Source organism: Homo sapiens, chromosome 6, assembly GCF_000001405.40.
Source record: "Homo sapiens chromosome 6, GRCh38.p14 Primary Assembly".
NCBI classification, from domain to species: domain Eukaryota; kingdom Metazoa; phylum Chordata; class Mammalia; order Primates; family Hominidae; genus Homo; species Homo sapiens.
Genome location: NC_000006.12, coordinates 158,770,576 through 158,787,099, shown reverse-complemented (window position 1 = coordinate 158,787,099; position 16,524 = coordinate 158,770,576). Strand labels below are relative to the sequence as shown.

At 47.9% G+C, this 16,524-nt stretch overlaps 1 protein-coding gene across 3 annotated transcripts in view, besides 3 other annotated features; it reads left to right on the top strand.

Moving 5' to 3' along the window:
- The window catches only part of EZR (ezrin), a 53,621-nt gene that overhangs the window by 32,269 nt on the left and 4,828 nt on the right, over positions 1-16,524 (top strand). For 2 of the 3 annotated variants that reach the window (NM_001111077.2, NM_003379.5), the window contains 6 exons: positions 1,517-1,791; positions 2,373-2,456; positions 3,434-3,580; positions 10,596-10,692; positions 15,693-15,856; positions 16,206-16,336. In NM_001111077.2, coding sequence (NP_001104547.1) covers positions 1,517-1,791; positions 2,373-2,456; positions 3,434-3,580; positions 10,596-10,692; positions 15,693-15,856; positions 16,206-16,336 — 898 coding nt within the window. The remainder of the gene's footprint in view (positions 1-1,516; positions 1,792-2,372; positions 2,457-3,433; positions 3,581-10,595; positions 10,693-15,692; positions 15,857-16,205; positions 16,337-16,524) is intronic. The other variant, XM_011536110.2, reaches the window with a different exon arrangement.
- Positions 1,707-2,906: an enhancer, noted in NCBI's record as "P300/CBP strongly-dependent group 1 enhancer chr6:159205226-159206425 (GRCh37/hg19 assembly coordinates)". NCBI's record gives its function as "activates an origin of replication core promoter dependent on BRD2, BRD4, P300/CBP, MED14 and CDK7 cofactors, with strong dependence on P300/CBP, by STARR-seq in HCT116 cells {active_cell/tissue: HCT116}" and the evidence as "EXISTENCE:reporter gene assay evidence [ECO:0000049][PMID:35650434]".
- Positions 13,302-14,501: an enhancer, noted in NCBI's record as "MED14-independent group 3 enhancer chr6:159193631-159194830 (GRCh37/hg19 assembly coordinates)". NCBI's record gives its function as "activates an origin of replication core promoter dependent on BRD2, BRD4, P300/CBP and CDK7 cofactors, and independent of MED14, by STARR-seq in HCT116 cells {active_cell/tissue: HCT116}" and the evidence as "EXISTENCE:reporter gene assay evidence [ECO:0000049][PMID:35650434]".
- Positions 15,439-15,645: a silencer, noted in NCBI's record as "fragment chr6:159192487-159192693 (GRCh37/hg19 assembly coordinates)". NCBI's record gives its function as "represses an EF-1alpha promoter that drives an FKBP-Casp9 reporter gene in an ReSE screen in phorbol 12-myristate 13-acetate-treated (for megakaryocytic differentiation) K562 erythroleukemia cells {active_cell/tissue: K562(+PMA)}" and the evidence as "EXISTENCE:reporter gene assay evidence [ECO:0000049][PMID:32094911]".

The window sequence follows — 16,524 nt, the reverse complement described above, 5'->3', positions numbered from 1 at the left end:
GGATTAACTATTTACAGGCTGTGGATTGGGTGTTGGTCTGCTTCATCGATAAGGAAACTGGAGCAACTCACCCTGTCTTTTGTTTTCTGTTCCTTTTTGTTTGTGTAAAAGTTTTTACAGACAAAAAGGTTGCAGGTTTCCAGTAAATGGAGATATCGATTGGAAATCAGATCTGGCATTTCTCCATAGTGCTCACTCATTGGAGCATATGATGGTTAATTGCATAGCTTTTAGTTGACCTTAGTTTTTTCAATGAGATTGTTAATCTTATAAACTGTGAATCATCCACCATCTTGTAAGAACCTGTTATTGCTTTGTTTGAACCTGTGACAGATTATCTTCCAACTTTAAAGAGTGGATAATTCCATTAACCAACCAAAAAGAAAAGTAGTAAGATAAACATTTTCTTCAAACTCTGAAAATTATCCTTTTTTTTTTTTTTGAAACCCCCACTGTCCTCCCAAGTCACAGCAACAAGTTAAAAAGATGATGGGAGGTGGGGAAGAGTGGAGGAGCAGGAGGAATTCTTAACAGTAAGTTTCGGGGTCCAGGGCCCGATTGGCATGTGGCCCCATTCCAGGTCACTGGGGTCATTTCCAAATTTGAGTTCTCCAGGATTGATAGCATCATCCCATGAGGACTGGGGCTTAGTGAGGCAGTAGCTTTGATTTCCAGCTGAGCACAAGAGTGTGATAGTACTTGTTTGTTTTTTGTTGTTGTTGTTTTGAGATGGAGTCTTGCTCTGTCGCCCAGGCTGGGGTGCAGTGGCACGATCTTGGCTCACTGCAACCTCCACCTCCTGGGTTCAAGTGATTCTCCTGCCTCAGCCTCCCAAGTAGCTGGGACTACAGCTGCATGCCATCATGCCCGGCTAATTTTTTTGTATTTTTAGTAGAGATGGGGTTTCACCATGTTGGTCAGGCTAGTCTCGAACTCCTGACCTCGTGGTCCGCCCACCTCAGCCTCCCAAAGTGCTGGGATTACAGTCGTGAGCCACCATGCCTGGCCTGTTTTTTTGTTTTTGTTTGTTTGTTGTTGTTTTTTAAGAAGAGACAGGGTCTTGCTCTGTCACCCAGGCTGGAGTGCAGTGGCGCCATCATAGCTCACTGCAGTCTCGAACTCCTGAGCTCCAGGGTTCCTCCTGCTCAGCTTCTTGAGTAACTGGGACTATAAGCATGCATCACCATCCCCAGCTAACTTTTTTTTAAAAAATGTTGTAGAGATGGGATCTCTTCTACGTTGCCCAGGCTGGTCTTAAACTCCTGGGCTCAAGTGATCCTCCTGCCTTGGCCTCCCAAAGCACTGGGATTATAGGCATGAGCCACCATGTCTGGCCTGTGGTAGCACTTTTGACTAACCTTTTTTTGTCTGGAGTGCTAAAAAGATGACTTTAAGAATAAATATCTCCTGAAAACTGGCTTGAGGGCCCCATTGAGTCTTGGTTAGAAGCCTGTGTTGGGGACAGTGGGCCTTCGTCTTCCGGATTTGTGTGGAGAGTGTGGCTTGTTTCGTGCAGGTGTCTGCCCAGGAGGTCAGGAAGGAGAATCCCCTCCAGTTCAAGTTCCGGGCCAAGTTCTACCCTGAAGATGTGGCTGAGGAGCTCATCCAGGACATCACCCAGAAACTTTTCTTCCTCCAAGTGAAGGAAGGAATCCTTAGCGATGAGATCTACTGCCCCCCTGAGACTGCCGTGCTCTTGGGGTCCTACGCTGTGCAGGCCAAGTTTGGGGACTACAACAAAGAAGTGCACAAGTCTGGGTACCTCAGCTCTGAGCGGCTGATCCCTCAAAGGTGAGCACAGGATGACCCGGCCTGGGCAGGAGCAGTCATGCCGTCCTCGGCAGGGAGAAGTGATTGCCTTAGAAGCACAGTTTAAAAACACAAGGACTTCGCCAGTGTCAAGTGCTCCTTCATGCTAGTCATTAAGTCACTGACCAGCGACCTGAAACATAGCCAGGGAAGGCGAGCTGCCATTCCTCATGGAAACTAAAGCGTGGCCGTGTCCTGTGGGACATGGCATAGCAAACTTCTCGACCTGACTGCTCAGCTCCTCCTGGGGTATGATAGGTTGCCCCTGTGAAATCTGTTTTTATTTAGTAATGGTCACAAAAATTACCCCATTTGGAAGAAGAGGCCACTTAAAATACCTCTTAGTTTTTCCAGCAGAACTGAGTTCTTGTTCAAAATGCTAAGTCTTCCAGATTAACTGTCATAAATAGAAATGCTGCACATCAGGAAATAGAAACCAAAGCTCTTTGGGATTGATTGATTTGAATGGAAAGTAAGGGTTTGAATGTGGGTGGTAAGTGGGCCTCCTTCCTTGCCTGTCACATTCCTTAAGGATGACAGTGCTGTTTCCTTTTGCATTCCAGAGTGATGGACCAGCACAAACTTACCAGGGACCAGTGGGAGGACCGGATCCAGGTGTGGCATGCGGAACACCGTGGGATGCTCAAGTGAGTGCTGTGCCCTGCTGTTGGGATCTTGCCATCTCCGTGCGCTCCAGCATGTCTTTTCCTGTGACTCTAGTTAGTGCTTTAAAGGGCTCTGTGTCAGGCCTTGTGAAGACCTTGAGGGAACCGAGTTAAAAGTGGGGTTTTCTTAGGGAAGAGGTTTTTTTTAAACAAAGCCAGGTGTCTTGCCTGGGGAAAGAAGCAGTTTAGCTCAAGCCTTCAGGTTCTAAAAGCTTACACCCTCCCTTTGTAGAAAGTGTTGTGTCTAAACTTCATCTTAGTCAGAGGGGCATTGTTCACCTGCAATCAGCATTATTCTGTCAAAGAGATGCTGGTTTGCTCATTATATGAAGGTACTTGTCTTACAAAGTGTATATAAATGAAAAAGGATCCCAAGTGAGAAATGCTGATGTCAGAGAACCTGGACGTGGGGCTGTTAATGTAAGACATGGCCGAGCCACCTGATTCTGGGTGTTCTCGTCCTAGAGCCTTGTCTCTGGCCTAGTCTTGCGAGTCTGCATTATTTCAGCCTCTGAAGTTTGTTTGAGGTTTGAGCCTCAGATTTTGTGCTTCAGGGTTTCCTGTCTGGCCCAAACATCCTTTATGGAAGGAAAACAACTCAAAGCCTATGAGGAGGGTTGTGGGAAGACATGTGTGGGCAAGAGAAAAAGGAGGATTGTGCTGAGTGATAAAACTTAAAAACCTGTTAGAGAAACCAGTGTGAATCAGTTCTTCTTCAAAGTGTGGGGTTTGGTGGTGAGGCTCCAGGGCAGCACGGACCCCACCCCAGGCATAGCTTCTGGGCTGTATGGGTCCCCTCCTCACCGGTCGGCTGCCCGGCCCCTGCCTGCCTGCACGCAGCACACAGCATTGAGCCCATCCTACACAAGGCGCCTTAATTTAAAAATACTGGAAAGGTTTTACTGTTCTAGATATTGAGTGCTACCAGTGACTCTGCCTGTTTCACTCTCCCCAATTAGAGATAATGCTATGTTGGAATACCTGAAGATTGCTCAGGACCTGGAAATGTATGGAATCAACTATTTCGAGATAAAAAACAAGAAAGGAACAGACCTTTGGCTTGGAGTTGATGCCCTTGGACTGAATATTTATGAGAAAGATGATAAGTGAGTTGAAGTTCACAGTTATCTTCAGTAGGTAGGGTGGTGGGCCTGGAAACAATGGCAAAATGGCAAATTTGTGGGTTATTTTTGAAGTATTTATTTAGCAACTTACTATCCCAAAGTAGGAAACTTTTTAAAGGGCTTTTGGACTGCTGTGGCCCTCTCAAAGGGTGGTCCAGAGGTGTGGGTTATCCTCTCTCATGGTGGGCGGGGCCGATAGTGGGCTCAGTCCTGGTAGAGGAAGGCAGAATAGAGCAGAGGCTGCCTCTCCTCCCCGCTGCCTCTGAGATTCCACCCCAGCTGCCTGCAGGTACCAGCACATCCATCCATAGCTACTTCGCAGGCAGCCCAGCCAGTGCTCGACTCCTGGCTCGAGGTTTGTGCTAATCCAACCAAGAATATTGATGGTGTGATGAGAGACTTGAAAAGCTGTAAACAATAGCCTGTACGTGTAGACACTTGAGCTAAATGCTGGGAGTCTGCAGGAGATATCTTAATTGCCTCGCATTAGTTACGTTGTTTGTTGAGTGAGGGCCTGTAAGCAAGCTGGGTAGAGCAGCAGAGCCAGGCCTCTCCACAGGGACAGGCAGTTCCGCTTTCACATACAGGGCATTTGCCTTCTTTCTGCTGAGGATAAACAGGGAAAGTCATCCTAGTTCATGAGGGCAAGTTTCCCATGGTGAGTCTGCGACATCAGCATAATCCTAGATTCTGGATTGATCTGATCAGAAGCTACCTGAATTTAAGAGGCAGAAGGAAACTACCTCTGGAAAGAGAAGGGAGAGGCTCCTGACTGCCTCCTGACTACCGTCTCTGCCCTGATTGTCCACAGTCAGCCTGATTGCTCTGCAGGGCTCCCCGAAACAAATCATCTGATGGCCACCAGGTTCAGGGGCCTGGCAGAGAAGGTGCCAGGGCAAGAATGCTCCTGGGGTCTTTTTGCCAAGCCCTGCCTTTTGGCCTGGGTTCCTGCTTTCCACGTAAAGAGCAGAGTGGCCCAGAGTTCCTGGATGTACCGGTTTCCTTCCCAGCCTCATGCTGTTCCTTGAAATGACAGCTCTCCCCATTTCCCACTTGAGGCTCACCCATCTCATCTGTTCTCAGATATTTTTGTTCTCAGCATCCCCACATCTCAGGTTCCCCCAAAACCCTCTCTGGAGTTCTCAAAGGGAGTGGTGCTGCTTTCCACAAATGACCTGCATGAGTCCATCTCCATTTGCAACCACGCGGATTCCTGCCAGACCCCAGGGCACAGATCTATTTCACTTGGGCAAGTCAGGGACCTGTGCCAGCTGTGCCCAACCTCCTCTCACCTCCGGGGCCCACGTGGTGATACTGCACAGGGAGGGAGGCAGGCGCTGTCACAGGAGCTCCTCAGAGAACCTGGAAATGAGATATTGAGGACTCTCGGTTCGCTCCTACTCCAAGTGTGCTGGATGCAGCATTGGTAAAGAAGCACGGAAAAGCCAGGCACAGCGGCTCACACCTGGAATCCCAGCACTCTGGGAGGCCGAGGCAGGCGAATCCCTTGAGCTCAGGAGTCTTGCCCAGCCTGGGGAACATGGCGAAACCCCGTCTCTACCAAAATTTAAAAAATTAGCTGGCTATGGTGGTGCACGCCTGTGGTCTCAGTCAGGTGGCTGAGGTGGGAGGATCACTTGAGCCTGGGAGGCAGAGGTTGTAGTAAGCCAAGATTGCGCCACTGCACTCTAGCCTGGGTGACAGAGCGAGACCGTGTCTCAAAAAAAATTTTAAAGAAGTGGGGAAAGTGGGTACTTGGAACCAGGACACCATCTTTCCGGGAGACCCTAGAGCTGAAGCCGTGGCTATTAAGACAGCCATGCCAAGGAGCAGTGCACAAAGTCCTCGTGGGAACGTATGTGGGAAACTGCCTCTGCCTTGGAAATCTCTTCAATGACCAGATTTTGTAACGTGGCCAGGCCAGGGCTGTCCAAACAGGTTTTTCAACCTGCAGGAAAACAGCCATGGGCAGGAACTTGCTGATGTCAGCTTGTAACTGCCCCAGCCCACGTAAGTGTCCATTTCTTCCAAGTAAAAACGTGAGCTGTGTGCCCTATTTAGTGCTGTTTTTGCGCTCTGCTCCCCCTCCCCCACCATTGAGCGATGAACGTGGCAACTCTCTCAGATGGTTCTTTCCCCACAGAGCATGCTGGGGTGTTGGGCAGGCTCACTTTCTGCCTCTCTTCTCCCCATTCCTGAAGGCACACCCCTCTCTTCATGAAAAAAGCATTTATGTAGATATTCAGTCATTTAATAGGCCCAAATTCTTTCCCTTTTGAACAAATATTGACAACTTGGTAGCAGCATAAGCAGGAGACTGTCCTGAAGTCTGAGGAGTGCTGAGAACTCGCCAGCTGTTGCGCTGTTACCTCTCTCGGTAGAACTAGGAGAATTAGATATGCCTGAAACATTGTTCAGGTGAGAAAGCTGATCTATTGAATATGGAAATTGAGCTCTAAGAGATTTATACTCTGCAAGTAAAGTCTCTATTAAAACACCTGTTTTAGTATTAAATAGGGTCTGGCTGGGAAATCTGTCTCTTGGGGTTCCCTTTTCATTGTACACATAAGCATTAAGTGGGAGCATGTAGGACTATTTGTCATCTTTCTTTAAACCCTTAGCTTGGAATAGGTGGGAGTATAAAGAGGGCAAAAACAGGTAAGCGCCCTCCTGACAGGCATTGTAAGCTTGTGAACAGAGGAAGTTCAGTTTAGCTGGGTTACAATTTGAAACCTGACACTCGGACCAAAAACAAAAACTAACAAAAACTAGAGGAACCTGATCTTTAGTCCTGTAAAAGCACTTTTTCTCCCTTAGCTTCATCCCTCTTTGGGCAGATTTCATCATAGAAGTCCTTCTGTAGGTAGGAGTTTCTGGAAATGCACTAGGTCCAGGGCTTCCACCTTAAAGGGAAAGGGTGCACGGGGAGCTTGGGGACTGAAACAGGAGCCACAGAACATGTCTCTTCTTTAAATTCCTTGCGGATAGGTACTCAGGGCTTCGCTTGCTTTCTCACGTCTCTTTCCGTATGCACTCCACTGTCACCCTCTGGCCCTCTAACACATTTCCAAGAAAACTGCAGGCATCCATATCCTTCCTCAAAATGAAAGTGCATATGATATACTAGAGGTTGGTTATGTTTTGTTCTTTTGATGTAAAATTTAAATACAATGAAATGTAATCTTAAGTGTTCATTTGTTGAGTTCTGACAAATATGCCTGAAAAATGCAAAATCTTAAGACATGTAGAACATTATCACACTCAGCTACATATTTTGGATTTACATTTTTTAATCATTCTTGGTTTTTTTTTTTTTTTTGATATGGAATCTCACTGTGTCACCCAGGGTGGAGTGCAATGGCACATTCTCAGCTCACTGTAACCTCTGCCTCCTGGGTTCAAGCGGTTCTCCTGCCTCAGCCTCCCGAGTAGCCAGGATTACAGGCACATGCCACCACTCCTGGCTAATTTTTGTATTTTTAGTAGAGATGGGGTTTCACTGTGTTGGCCAGGCTGGTCTCAAACTCCTGACCTCAAATGATCTGCCCACCTTGGCTTCCCAAAGTGCTGGGATACAGGTGTAAGCCACCATGCCTGGCCCATTCTTGCATTTTAAAGTCATTTCAGGCTGGGCATGGTGGCTCATACCTGTAATCCCAGCACTTTGGGAGGCTAAAACAGGTAGATCCCTTGAGCTCAGGAGTTCAAGACCAGCCTGGGCTGGTCTTTGCCAACATGGCAAAACCCCGTCTCCACCAAAAGTACAAAAAATTAGCTGGGCGTGGTGGTGCATGCCTGTGGTCCTAGCTACTTGGGAGGCTGAGGTGGGAGGATCACTTGAGCCCGGGAGGCGGAGGCTGCAGTGAGCCAAGATTGTGCCACTGCACTCTAGCCTGGGTGACAGAGTAAGACCCCATCTCAATTTAAAATATATATATTATTTCAAACTTTAAAAAGATTCTAAAAATAGTACAAATAATTCCCATATACCCTTCACTTAGCTTCCTCAAACATTAACACCTTATGTAACCGTAGTCCAAATACCAAGATAAGAAAATTAACATTAGCAGTCTCTAGACCTCATTCCCATTTTAATCAGTTGTCTCACTGATGTCCTATTTCTGCCCCGGGACCCTCTCTGGAGCCACACAGTTAGTTGTCAGACCTCCCTGTCTCCTTCGATGTGGGATAGTTCCAGTCTTTTTTTGTCATGACCTTGGTATTTTTGAAGAGTACTGGCCATTGACTTTGGAAAGCCCTTCAGCTTGGATTGTCTGGTGTTTTCTCATTATTTGGAGTTTTACATTTTTGGTAAGAATAAAGTGCTGTTTTGCCCTTCCAGGACCTCTTTCAAGGTGGCACATGTGGTCGGTATATCTTATCTTAGGTGGTGCTAATTTTGATTATTAGTTAAGGTGGTGTCTGCCACGTTTCTCCACTGTAAAATCACTATCCTTCCCTTTACAATTGGTCAGTATATTTGGGGGAGATAATTTTAAACTATGTAGATGTCCTAGTTCTAGCTACCATTGATGAGATTACTGTGGTATTTGAGAAATTGTGATTTTTAAAAACTTTTTACGTGTATTAATTGGAATTCTATAAGGAGCCAATTTCTGTTCTCCATTTATTCAGTTATATTAATATGGACTCATGGATATGTGTTTCGGTCTTTGGGTTATGATCTATGAGTATGTATCTTCTTGCTCAGGTTGTTTGAGATTTGGCCTTTAGGAGCACCTTGAAGTGTGAGCCCTGCATTCTTTGCAGGCTTCCTTGCTGCCTGGCTCCTCGAGATGCACCAGGTTCATCCTTTGTGTTCCCTGTTCTAGTCCTGGAATCAGCCATTTCTCCAAAGGCCTCTGTCTGGTCCCTGTTATTGGAGAATCACGCTTTTTTAATGTGTGGCCTAAGCAAGGACACTTATAAACCCTGTGGCCACCTTCTCTGTAGACCCTGTTCATGTCCTATATGTGATCTCTTAGGAAAAAGGAAATCCTTGGGCTTTAATTTTCCAACTTTGGTCAAGAATTAAAAGTTCTTTAACTCAAAAGTGAGTCATAATTTTCATGTTTAACCTTTTTGTTTTGATACTGCAGTTATGCTTATGAGTGGCTATGAATTGTTATATGAGGTTTCAAAGTCCTAAGAGGAAAAACTTTCTAGGCACACCAGAGAGCCGGAGGCCTAAATTTTCTAAGGTCAGAACCTGTTTTGAGAGTCCTGTGTAGAGACAGGAGCCGGAGAGGGGATCCCAGCCCCTTGAAGTTTCAGGATGCGGCACGCTGGCTCACAGTGCTATGTGCTGTGGGCGGAGCCTCCGGAGCTTGGATCCTAGCTTCTCTGTTGGTGCCAGCAGGCTGCTCTTGTGTTTTGGGAGAAAGTGCTCCAGAAGCAACACATGCCTACCTGGTGCCACTTTCACAGCCTTTCAATGTAAGGAGGACATAGGCTGAAGTCAGTAGCAGGGCAAGGTGGTATCTGGAGTTCCCCTTTAATGCTCTGAAACCTGTAAAGAAAATTACATCTCGAAGATAAAAGAACAAACTCATTGCATGTCTGTTTGAATGCCAGGTGTGTTTTTTTTTAATGGGGATTGGTGATTCTAGAGCATAGCACTGTAAAAGAAAGGATGTATACAAAAGCTTTGACATTTAGAACCATGGTCTGGCCAGTGTCCTGCCATCATTCCTGCAGGCACACCATGACTGACTGCGCTAATTCCCCAGAAGGGCCATGTCAGGCTTACATGTTTGCCCTCAGCCTACAGAGTCCACCCCACTGCCTTGATCTAGTTGATGTGATCATAACGAAACCTGTATTGCTCATCAGTATTGAAGCTGTTGGTAGGCCATAGATTGCTTGACCTTCCTGCTACTTCTAAAATGAAGGTTTTTGTGGGATGTTGGAAAGGACTGCTTTGGAGGGCAGCATTGTTGGATGGTGGTTTTGAGGATTTGTCGTTATTTCCAGAATGGCATTATCCCTGGTAAAATGTGTTGGAAGAATAGGGTGGGAAGTGTCAGGTGAGCAGAGCAATGTGGTCTTGAAGTCACATGATGAACTTGGGAATGCTAATAAAAGCCAGAGTCTGGCCAGTCATGGCATTGCATTGGTTAAGTAGGATTAGCCCTGTGGGGCCTTCATTAGGGCGGTTAGTTTGAAGGCTGTCCTGGAAGTTGGAGAGTGACATGGGAAGATGTCTGTCCAGCCAGGAGAACACACACTGGAATGAGAACCAGAGGAGCAGAATGCATAGCAAGGCCTCTGTCCGTTTCTCTTGGCAAGCTCTGTTGAGTATGGCACGTCTAGGAACGTGATGGGATCTTGGCCCTCCCTGTTGGTTTCATAGAACTAAATGATCAGTAACTTAAATAACATTCAACAGTCTGTAGCAGAAGAGCCTGTATGTTAAGAGAGGCCTCAAGGGAAAGGGAGGCAGCCCTGGGGAACTGTGTGTTGAAAGGTGGGTCTGAACCGTGGAGTTTGGGGCTGGATTTGACAGCTCTTGGATGCTGAGTTAAGGACTGTGTTGACATGGGAGGAGAGGAAATTAATCAGATCAGCAGACTGAAAGTAGGGCTGCTCCAGCACACAGCTTGAGAGTGGGCTCTGGCAGGATGAGAGGTAGGTGAGTGTGGTGATGTGATGTGGGAATGAACAGCAGAAGATACCTGAGGGGGAGGGTCAAGGTACCTGGGTAGGAATTTCAGTTGACCTCGAGATCACCAGCCTGGGTAATCATAGGTGCCCTAGACTGAGGAAAAACCAAAGGAAATGGGAACAGATTAAGGTTGCAGATGCCTTGCAGCCAACCACTTGGCTTAACCTAGGACAGGTGGGAACTATTTGATAATAGCATATAACACATTGTGCCTCTTGGGTTAGCTTCATATTATTTTAATTGAACTAATAAGAATTGATTTGCGAATCTCTCTTAGCCAATCCAAGAACATATGTATACATCTAACCATCCACTTCTTCTTTTTAACCTCAGGTTAACCCCAAAGATTGGCTTTCCTTGGAGTGAAATCAGGAACATCTCTTTCAATGACAAAAAGTTTGTCATTAAACCCATCGACAAGAAGGCACCTGTAAGTTCCAAAGGATTCTATTCAGGGGCTACTGTTTTTCATTCTTATACTTGTCAGGGTAACGGACAAGTTATACTGTGACGAGTAGCCAGTGATAGTCCAAACTCCTCATGAGGTTACATTGAGGGCCAGAGATCCTGTGGGCCAGGCAATTGCTGCAGGGGAGACCACTTAACTTTTCAAATGATTCTCATTCCTTATGAAGAAAAGGGCAGTTCTGAGCCATTGGCCAAATGATAAGCATTTCCCAAAATGCTGTGTTTTTGGTGTGGAGAGCCAGCCTGTCCCCTTGACCACCTGGGTGCAGGGACTCTCCCCGGCACCTGACGGACAGTGGGACCTGCGAGTCTCAAGGGCCAGATTTGCCTTTCAGAGCTGTCCTGGAACTTACCCAAGATAGGGACAGTCAGACTTGCACCCAAGCATTGCTGGTGCCCAAGGTTTCATCGGGGCTTCACCCACTTCTGTTGTCAGAGGTGTGCATCCTCACACAGGTGACACTGGCAGGCAGTCATTTTGGGAGGACATGGTAAGAAGGCGACACTTTATGTCCTGAAATCTGATAGTATTGATTGTAATAGCTGCAAAGACCAGTGCATTATGTAAATTTGGTTTTATTTATTCTGCTGACATTTAAACTTTTGTTAACTCAGAATATTTGAGACATACGCACATAACTGTAGCATTGTAGAATGGGTAAGGATTTTGTTATCTAATCAGAAATCTAGTTCTCTAAAAAATTGCCACCTGAAGAAATTCTGTTACCACCTTAGAGCCTGTTCTGAATTTTACGAAAATTATAGATTGGAAAGGACTTTGTGTTCTCATGTAATTTTGGTTCCTTAGTTACAGTGTTAAGCTTGGAGAGGCAAACATGGGCTGTGGTCCATACCTTGGTTGTCTTGTTAACCCTTTTGGGACTGGGTACTGCTTAGCAATGGTAAATCCACTTAGAACAGTATGTGGTGTTATTGTCCTGTTACTTCTCCCCACATACAGGTTTGTCTAGCATAATTTAAAATCAGCAGGTCTTGACAATTTTGTGAAAGTATTTTCTTCTTTGTTAAAAACGTCTTGGCCAGGCTCAGTGGCTCACGCCTGTAATCCCAGGACCTTGGGAGGCTGAGATGGCCGAATCACGAGGTCAGGAGTTCGAGACCAGCCTGGCCAACACAGTGAAAACCCCATCTCTACTAAAAATACAAAAATTATCTGGGCGTGGTGGTGGGCGCCTGTAATCTCAGCTGCTCGGGAGGCTGAGGCAGGAGAATCGCTTGAACCCAGGAAGCAGAGGTTGCAGTGAGCTGAGATCGCCACTGCACTCAAGCCTGGGTGACAGAGCTAGACTCCGTCTCAAAAAAAAAAAAAAAAAAGGGCTCCTGCTGTTTGCAAACTCTTGGCTGCTACTCTGTGGGTAGTTGCACGGTTATTTAAAATTAAACGCGTATTGAATGCAGACTCTAAGGCTCCATGGCAGCAGTTCATATTATGCAACAGCATGAATGGAGGGTCATAGCGTCTTCATGTCACTTGGGTAGTAAGATTGGCACAGTTTAGAAGAGCAAGAAAATGCTGAAATCTCTTCATCAGTAGGCTACTACGTACTCTGTGACGCTACTGCCTTTTCAGAACACTTATTAAAAATTTGACTAGAGCAGCAGCTCTGGACTAGACTGTTTCAGAATGTTTGTGCGTGTGTGTGTGTGTGTGTGTGTGTGTGTGTGTGTGTGTGTGTTTGATGATAAGTCCATCTCTTGAAAAGCTGAAGAATATTTTCATAATAAGCCCCAAGCAGAAGCCATTGTAACGCATCTCGTGCATGTGCCTTTATTATAGAGTAGCCTCATGTGAAGCCATCTCGTAAGCAAAAGAAACATTCGCTGGTGGCACGCTGTCCCAGGCACTCTTCCAGGGCTGTGTGCACCATCAACAAGGCAAAGCTCCTACCCTGGTGAGCCTACATTTACGTGAAGGAAAGGGTTAAAAAGGCAACTGAGATGCTTCCTGGTAGTAAATTTAACAGTACAGCTGTGATTAAAAACTAAGCCGGATCAGAAGATGGGGGTGAGATTCCTTTAGGCAGGTTGGGCAGGAGCCACACTGAGGAGGCAGCATTTGCCTTGAGTGGGCACTGCTGGTTTGAGGAGGTGGAGTTCTGTCACCCCCACAGCACCCCAGGGCTGCTCGAGGCACTGCCCCACCTCAGTCTGTAAACTTTGGGCAGAAGAAGTTCAAGTTTTCGACATCGAACTTTCTTGTAAAAAAGAAGAGGCCCAAAGTTTGAGGCGGTGGGATTCCTTATCTTGTGTTGACTTTCACGGGTCATCTTCACCCCAGGCGGTTTCTGCTGTGAACTCACAAATGAGTCTTTGTCCAGTTCTCACCCAACAACTGGCGTCTCCTTTTTAAAAGCCAGCTTCTCTTCCCTGCCAAGGTGCATACAGCAGTTTGGGGCCACACTTTGGCTCTTTAGATGGGACCTTGTATACAGCTGACACGGCCTGCCCAGGTGACACTATGAGGGGCTGAGGCGGCTGCCTTTTCCCTTTCAAAAGGGCGTTTTGTTCCTGTGGCCTTGTGGAAAAGGCAGAAGGCTCTGAGGCATCTGAAATTTGGAGAAAGTAAGCAGCGTTTCCGCTCTGACTCCTCGGACGCTTCCCCCACGTGACCTTCCCAGGAGCCCCGCTGCCTTTTTGCCTCCCGCGGCTGCCTCCTGCCATCTCTGCGGCCAGATGAGCCTTGGGATTGGCCTCTTGTGGGAGAGTTTCCTGGCATCCTGGGGACTTGAAAAGGGGCTCTTTTACCTTCTCTCCTTCTGTATTTGTAGGGTCTTGGGTTTATTTTTCTTGAACTTTCCTTGTGCCTGGTTTGCATTTTTACCTTGCTGGTCCTCGGCCAGTTTAAAAACCCTGCTCCAGGTCTTGTCGTGTTGTGGTTCTGCATCAGGAAGCTGCATCCTGCATCAGGTTAGGGACTTGGATTTAGAAACATTTCAGTATGAGTCTTTGTTTTAACTTGAAGTGAGAAACCGGCTTCCTTCAAAGGCACTGGGAGAGATTTCCTGCCAGGCACCATCCTCCCTCACCCACTGGCAGTGGACTCCCCAAATTCTGGTTCCCGTTGCTGGCAGGACCTGTCTTCTGCAGGGAAAGGGAGAGAGGGAGACATTGTTATGTTAACCATTGAGGTTTTTCATTGATCCCCCCACCCATGCACCCCCACAACCCCATAAAGGGGAGTTGGTGCTAATCAGCGTTTTCTGAGTCAGGGCCTATTTGGTAGAGTCCTCCAAAGCTGTAATGCAGGATTGTTTCCTCTTGTGTAATAAGGGATAGGTGGGTCATAAAAATGCCGATTGCTCCCAGCTCCACAGACTCCTCCCTGGGAAACCCAATGACTTAACAGCAAGGGTGTGAAACCCCAAAGACAGCCCCACCCAGGAAGTTCATGGGCTCTCAGGGCTTGGCATCACCTCTCACCCTAGGATTTCTGGAACAGATGAAAAGACTGAAGCTAAATAGATTCTTCTCGGATGTGTTGATGAGCCCGCTCAGCCGGTTCCTCGTTAGGTCTCAGAAGTTGCTGTGGGATATATCGCACTGTTTTTTTGTTTTAGCCACCCTGTCCCTCTGTTCCAAATGGTCAGAAGCTGGATGCTGGGGGCCCTGAGGTTAAGAGGAAGCCAACAGAGTCACTGAAAAATAACTTTTCATGGGAGTTTCTAAACCATATTCTTCTGTCTTGTAAGCTAATCACAGCAGTAGCAAGGAGTTGGGACCAAGATTGTCAGCTGTGTCCCAAATGTTTCCAGTCATGGTCACGAGTTTCCCGAAGGCTGTGATTCTGCCTTGTTTTCCAGGAGGCTCCTCTGGTTGTGGTCTTGCAAGGCACTAGCAATTGGAGTGACCGCTGTGTGTGTCAGCCAGCTCTTCCTGCGCCGAGCACCTCCTGAACGTCACCGATAAGGCGGGGACGCCAGCATCTAATGGGACTGCTGGGAGGATTGAGTCCCATATCTGAAGTCCCTTGAGATACCGGCATCCCTGCCTTATGGTTGAAGGCACTGAGCCTGGTGAAGGGATGTGCTCAAGGCTGTGGAGCTCGCACGTGGCTGTCTGTGCTGCACGAGCTGGCAGTGCCTGGCAGGTACTGCACACCTCAAATACCCTGGGAAGATAAGAGATGAGTGAATGTGTGGCCCCTGCCCTTGGGAGCTGATGGCCTCATAGGAGTGAGATGCTGAAAGGAGTCACTGGAGTGAAGTGACAGTGCCACTGCGGCGAGTACCTGTAGCTGGTGTGGCAGGAGCAGGGCTGGATAGCTTTGAGGAGAGAGAACCGAGTGCACAGCGGAGGCTGGGCCCAGAGCTGGAAGGTCTCTGTGTGGGTTGGGCCCAGGCCCTGGAGCTCATCCTGGAGCTCCCAGGCTGGCAGTGATGGGTCGGGGTGGTGACCCAGTCAGTGTAGCAATAACAGTGTGGGAGGGGAGGCTGTGGCAGAGGAGACAGGAAGCCCAAATAGCAGCAGAGGCAGTCCAGGCAAGCATCGGGGATGGGGAGCAGCAGTGAGGCTGGAGAGGACATCATGAAAGGTGGCTACCTGGAAGAGCAGGCAGCTCTGAGACTTGAAAGGTTTCCCAAGGCTGAGAGTTCTCACCTTGGAAAAGCTTTGCAGTTAACGTGCAGTGGCATTTCAGTGTGCATGCAGGATGTCCCTACCCACACACAACTGCACACACACGCGGCACCTGCCCTTCCTCCACCCGTCCCAGAGAATGCACTTTCCCAGTGCTACATACCCACACATAACCGCACACACACGCGGCACGTGCCCTTCCTCCATCTGTCCTGGAGAATGCACATTCCTAGTGCCGAGATGCTGCCATCCCTGTTCTGCTACATTTGTTCTTTTAGAAAAGTTCTGGACCTTTGTGAAGGATGGTTTGGAGAAGAAAACCAAACGAAGGAGCTTGAGTCCAGGTGGCCCTGTTCTGTTTTGTAGGACTTTGTGTTTTATGCCCCACGTCTGAGAATCAACAAGCGGATCCTGCAGCTCTGCATGGGCAACCATGAGTTGTATATGCGCCGCAGGAAGCCTGACACCATCGAGGTGCAGCAGATGAAGGCCCAGGCCCGGGAGGAGAAGCATCAGAAGCAGCTGGAGCGGTGAGCGCGTGAGGCCAGAGTGGGGGGGGCCTGTGTTCTCCCAACTCAGCCACTGGCAGCCAGTGCCTGTCAGGTGACTGTGGAGCTGATGGGGAGAGTGTGGTGGAATGGAACCCAGTCACCACGCTGGGATCTTCGAGGCCTTTGTCTCTGGGCGGTTGCTGTGGTGCTGAGCCTGTTGTCAGCCCTGGAGCGGCTGCTCCGTCAGGCAGCTCAGGCTGGCAGCAGGCTAGGGTGGCCCTCAGGATACCAAGTCCATCCTGGAGCTTCAAGTACCCGTGAAGTGTGTTGACCCCTCACTTTCCTGCCAGAGTCTAAATCTCCCTGTGCCTCTTTTTCCCTGCACCAGGCAACAGCTGGAAACAGAGAAGAAAAGGAGAGAAACCGTGGAGAGAGAGAAAGAGCAGATGATGCGCGAGAAGGAGGAGTTGATGCTGCGGCTGCAGGACTATGAGGAGAAGACAAAGAAGGCAGAGAGAGGTCAGGCGCCCTGGGGCTGGCACTCTACACTGGGTCATGCATTTCCACAGAGTAGCAGGGGCCACACCCACCCACCCACTCACCAGGAAGGAAACCAAGAACGTGTCCCACAGCGCAGACTCACAGCCGAAATGATAAAATGGTTATTTGGTTTGGAAAACAGTTCTGTACTTATTTAACTTTGATGC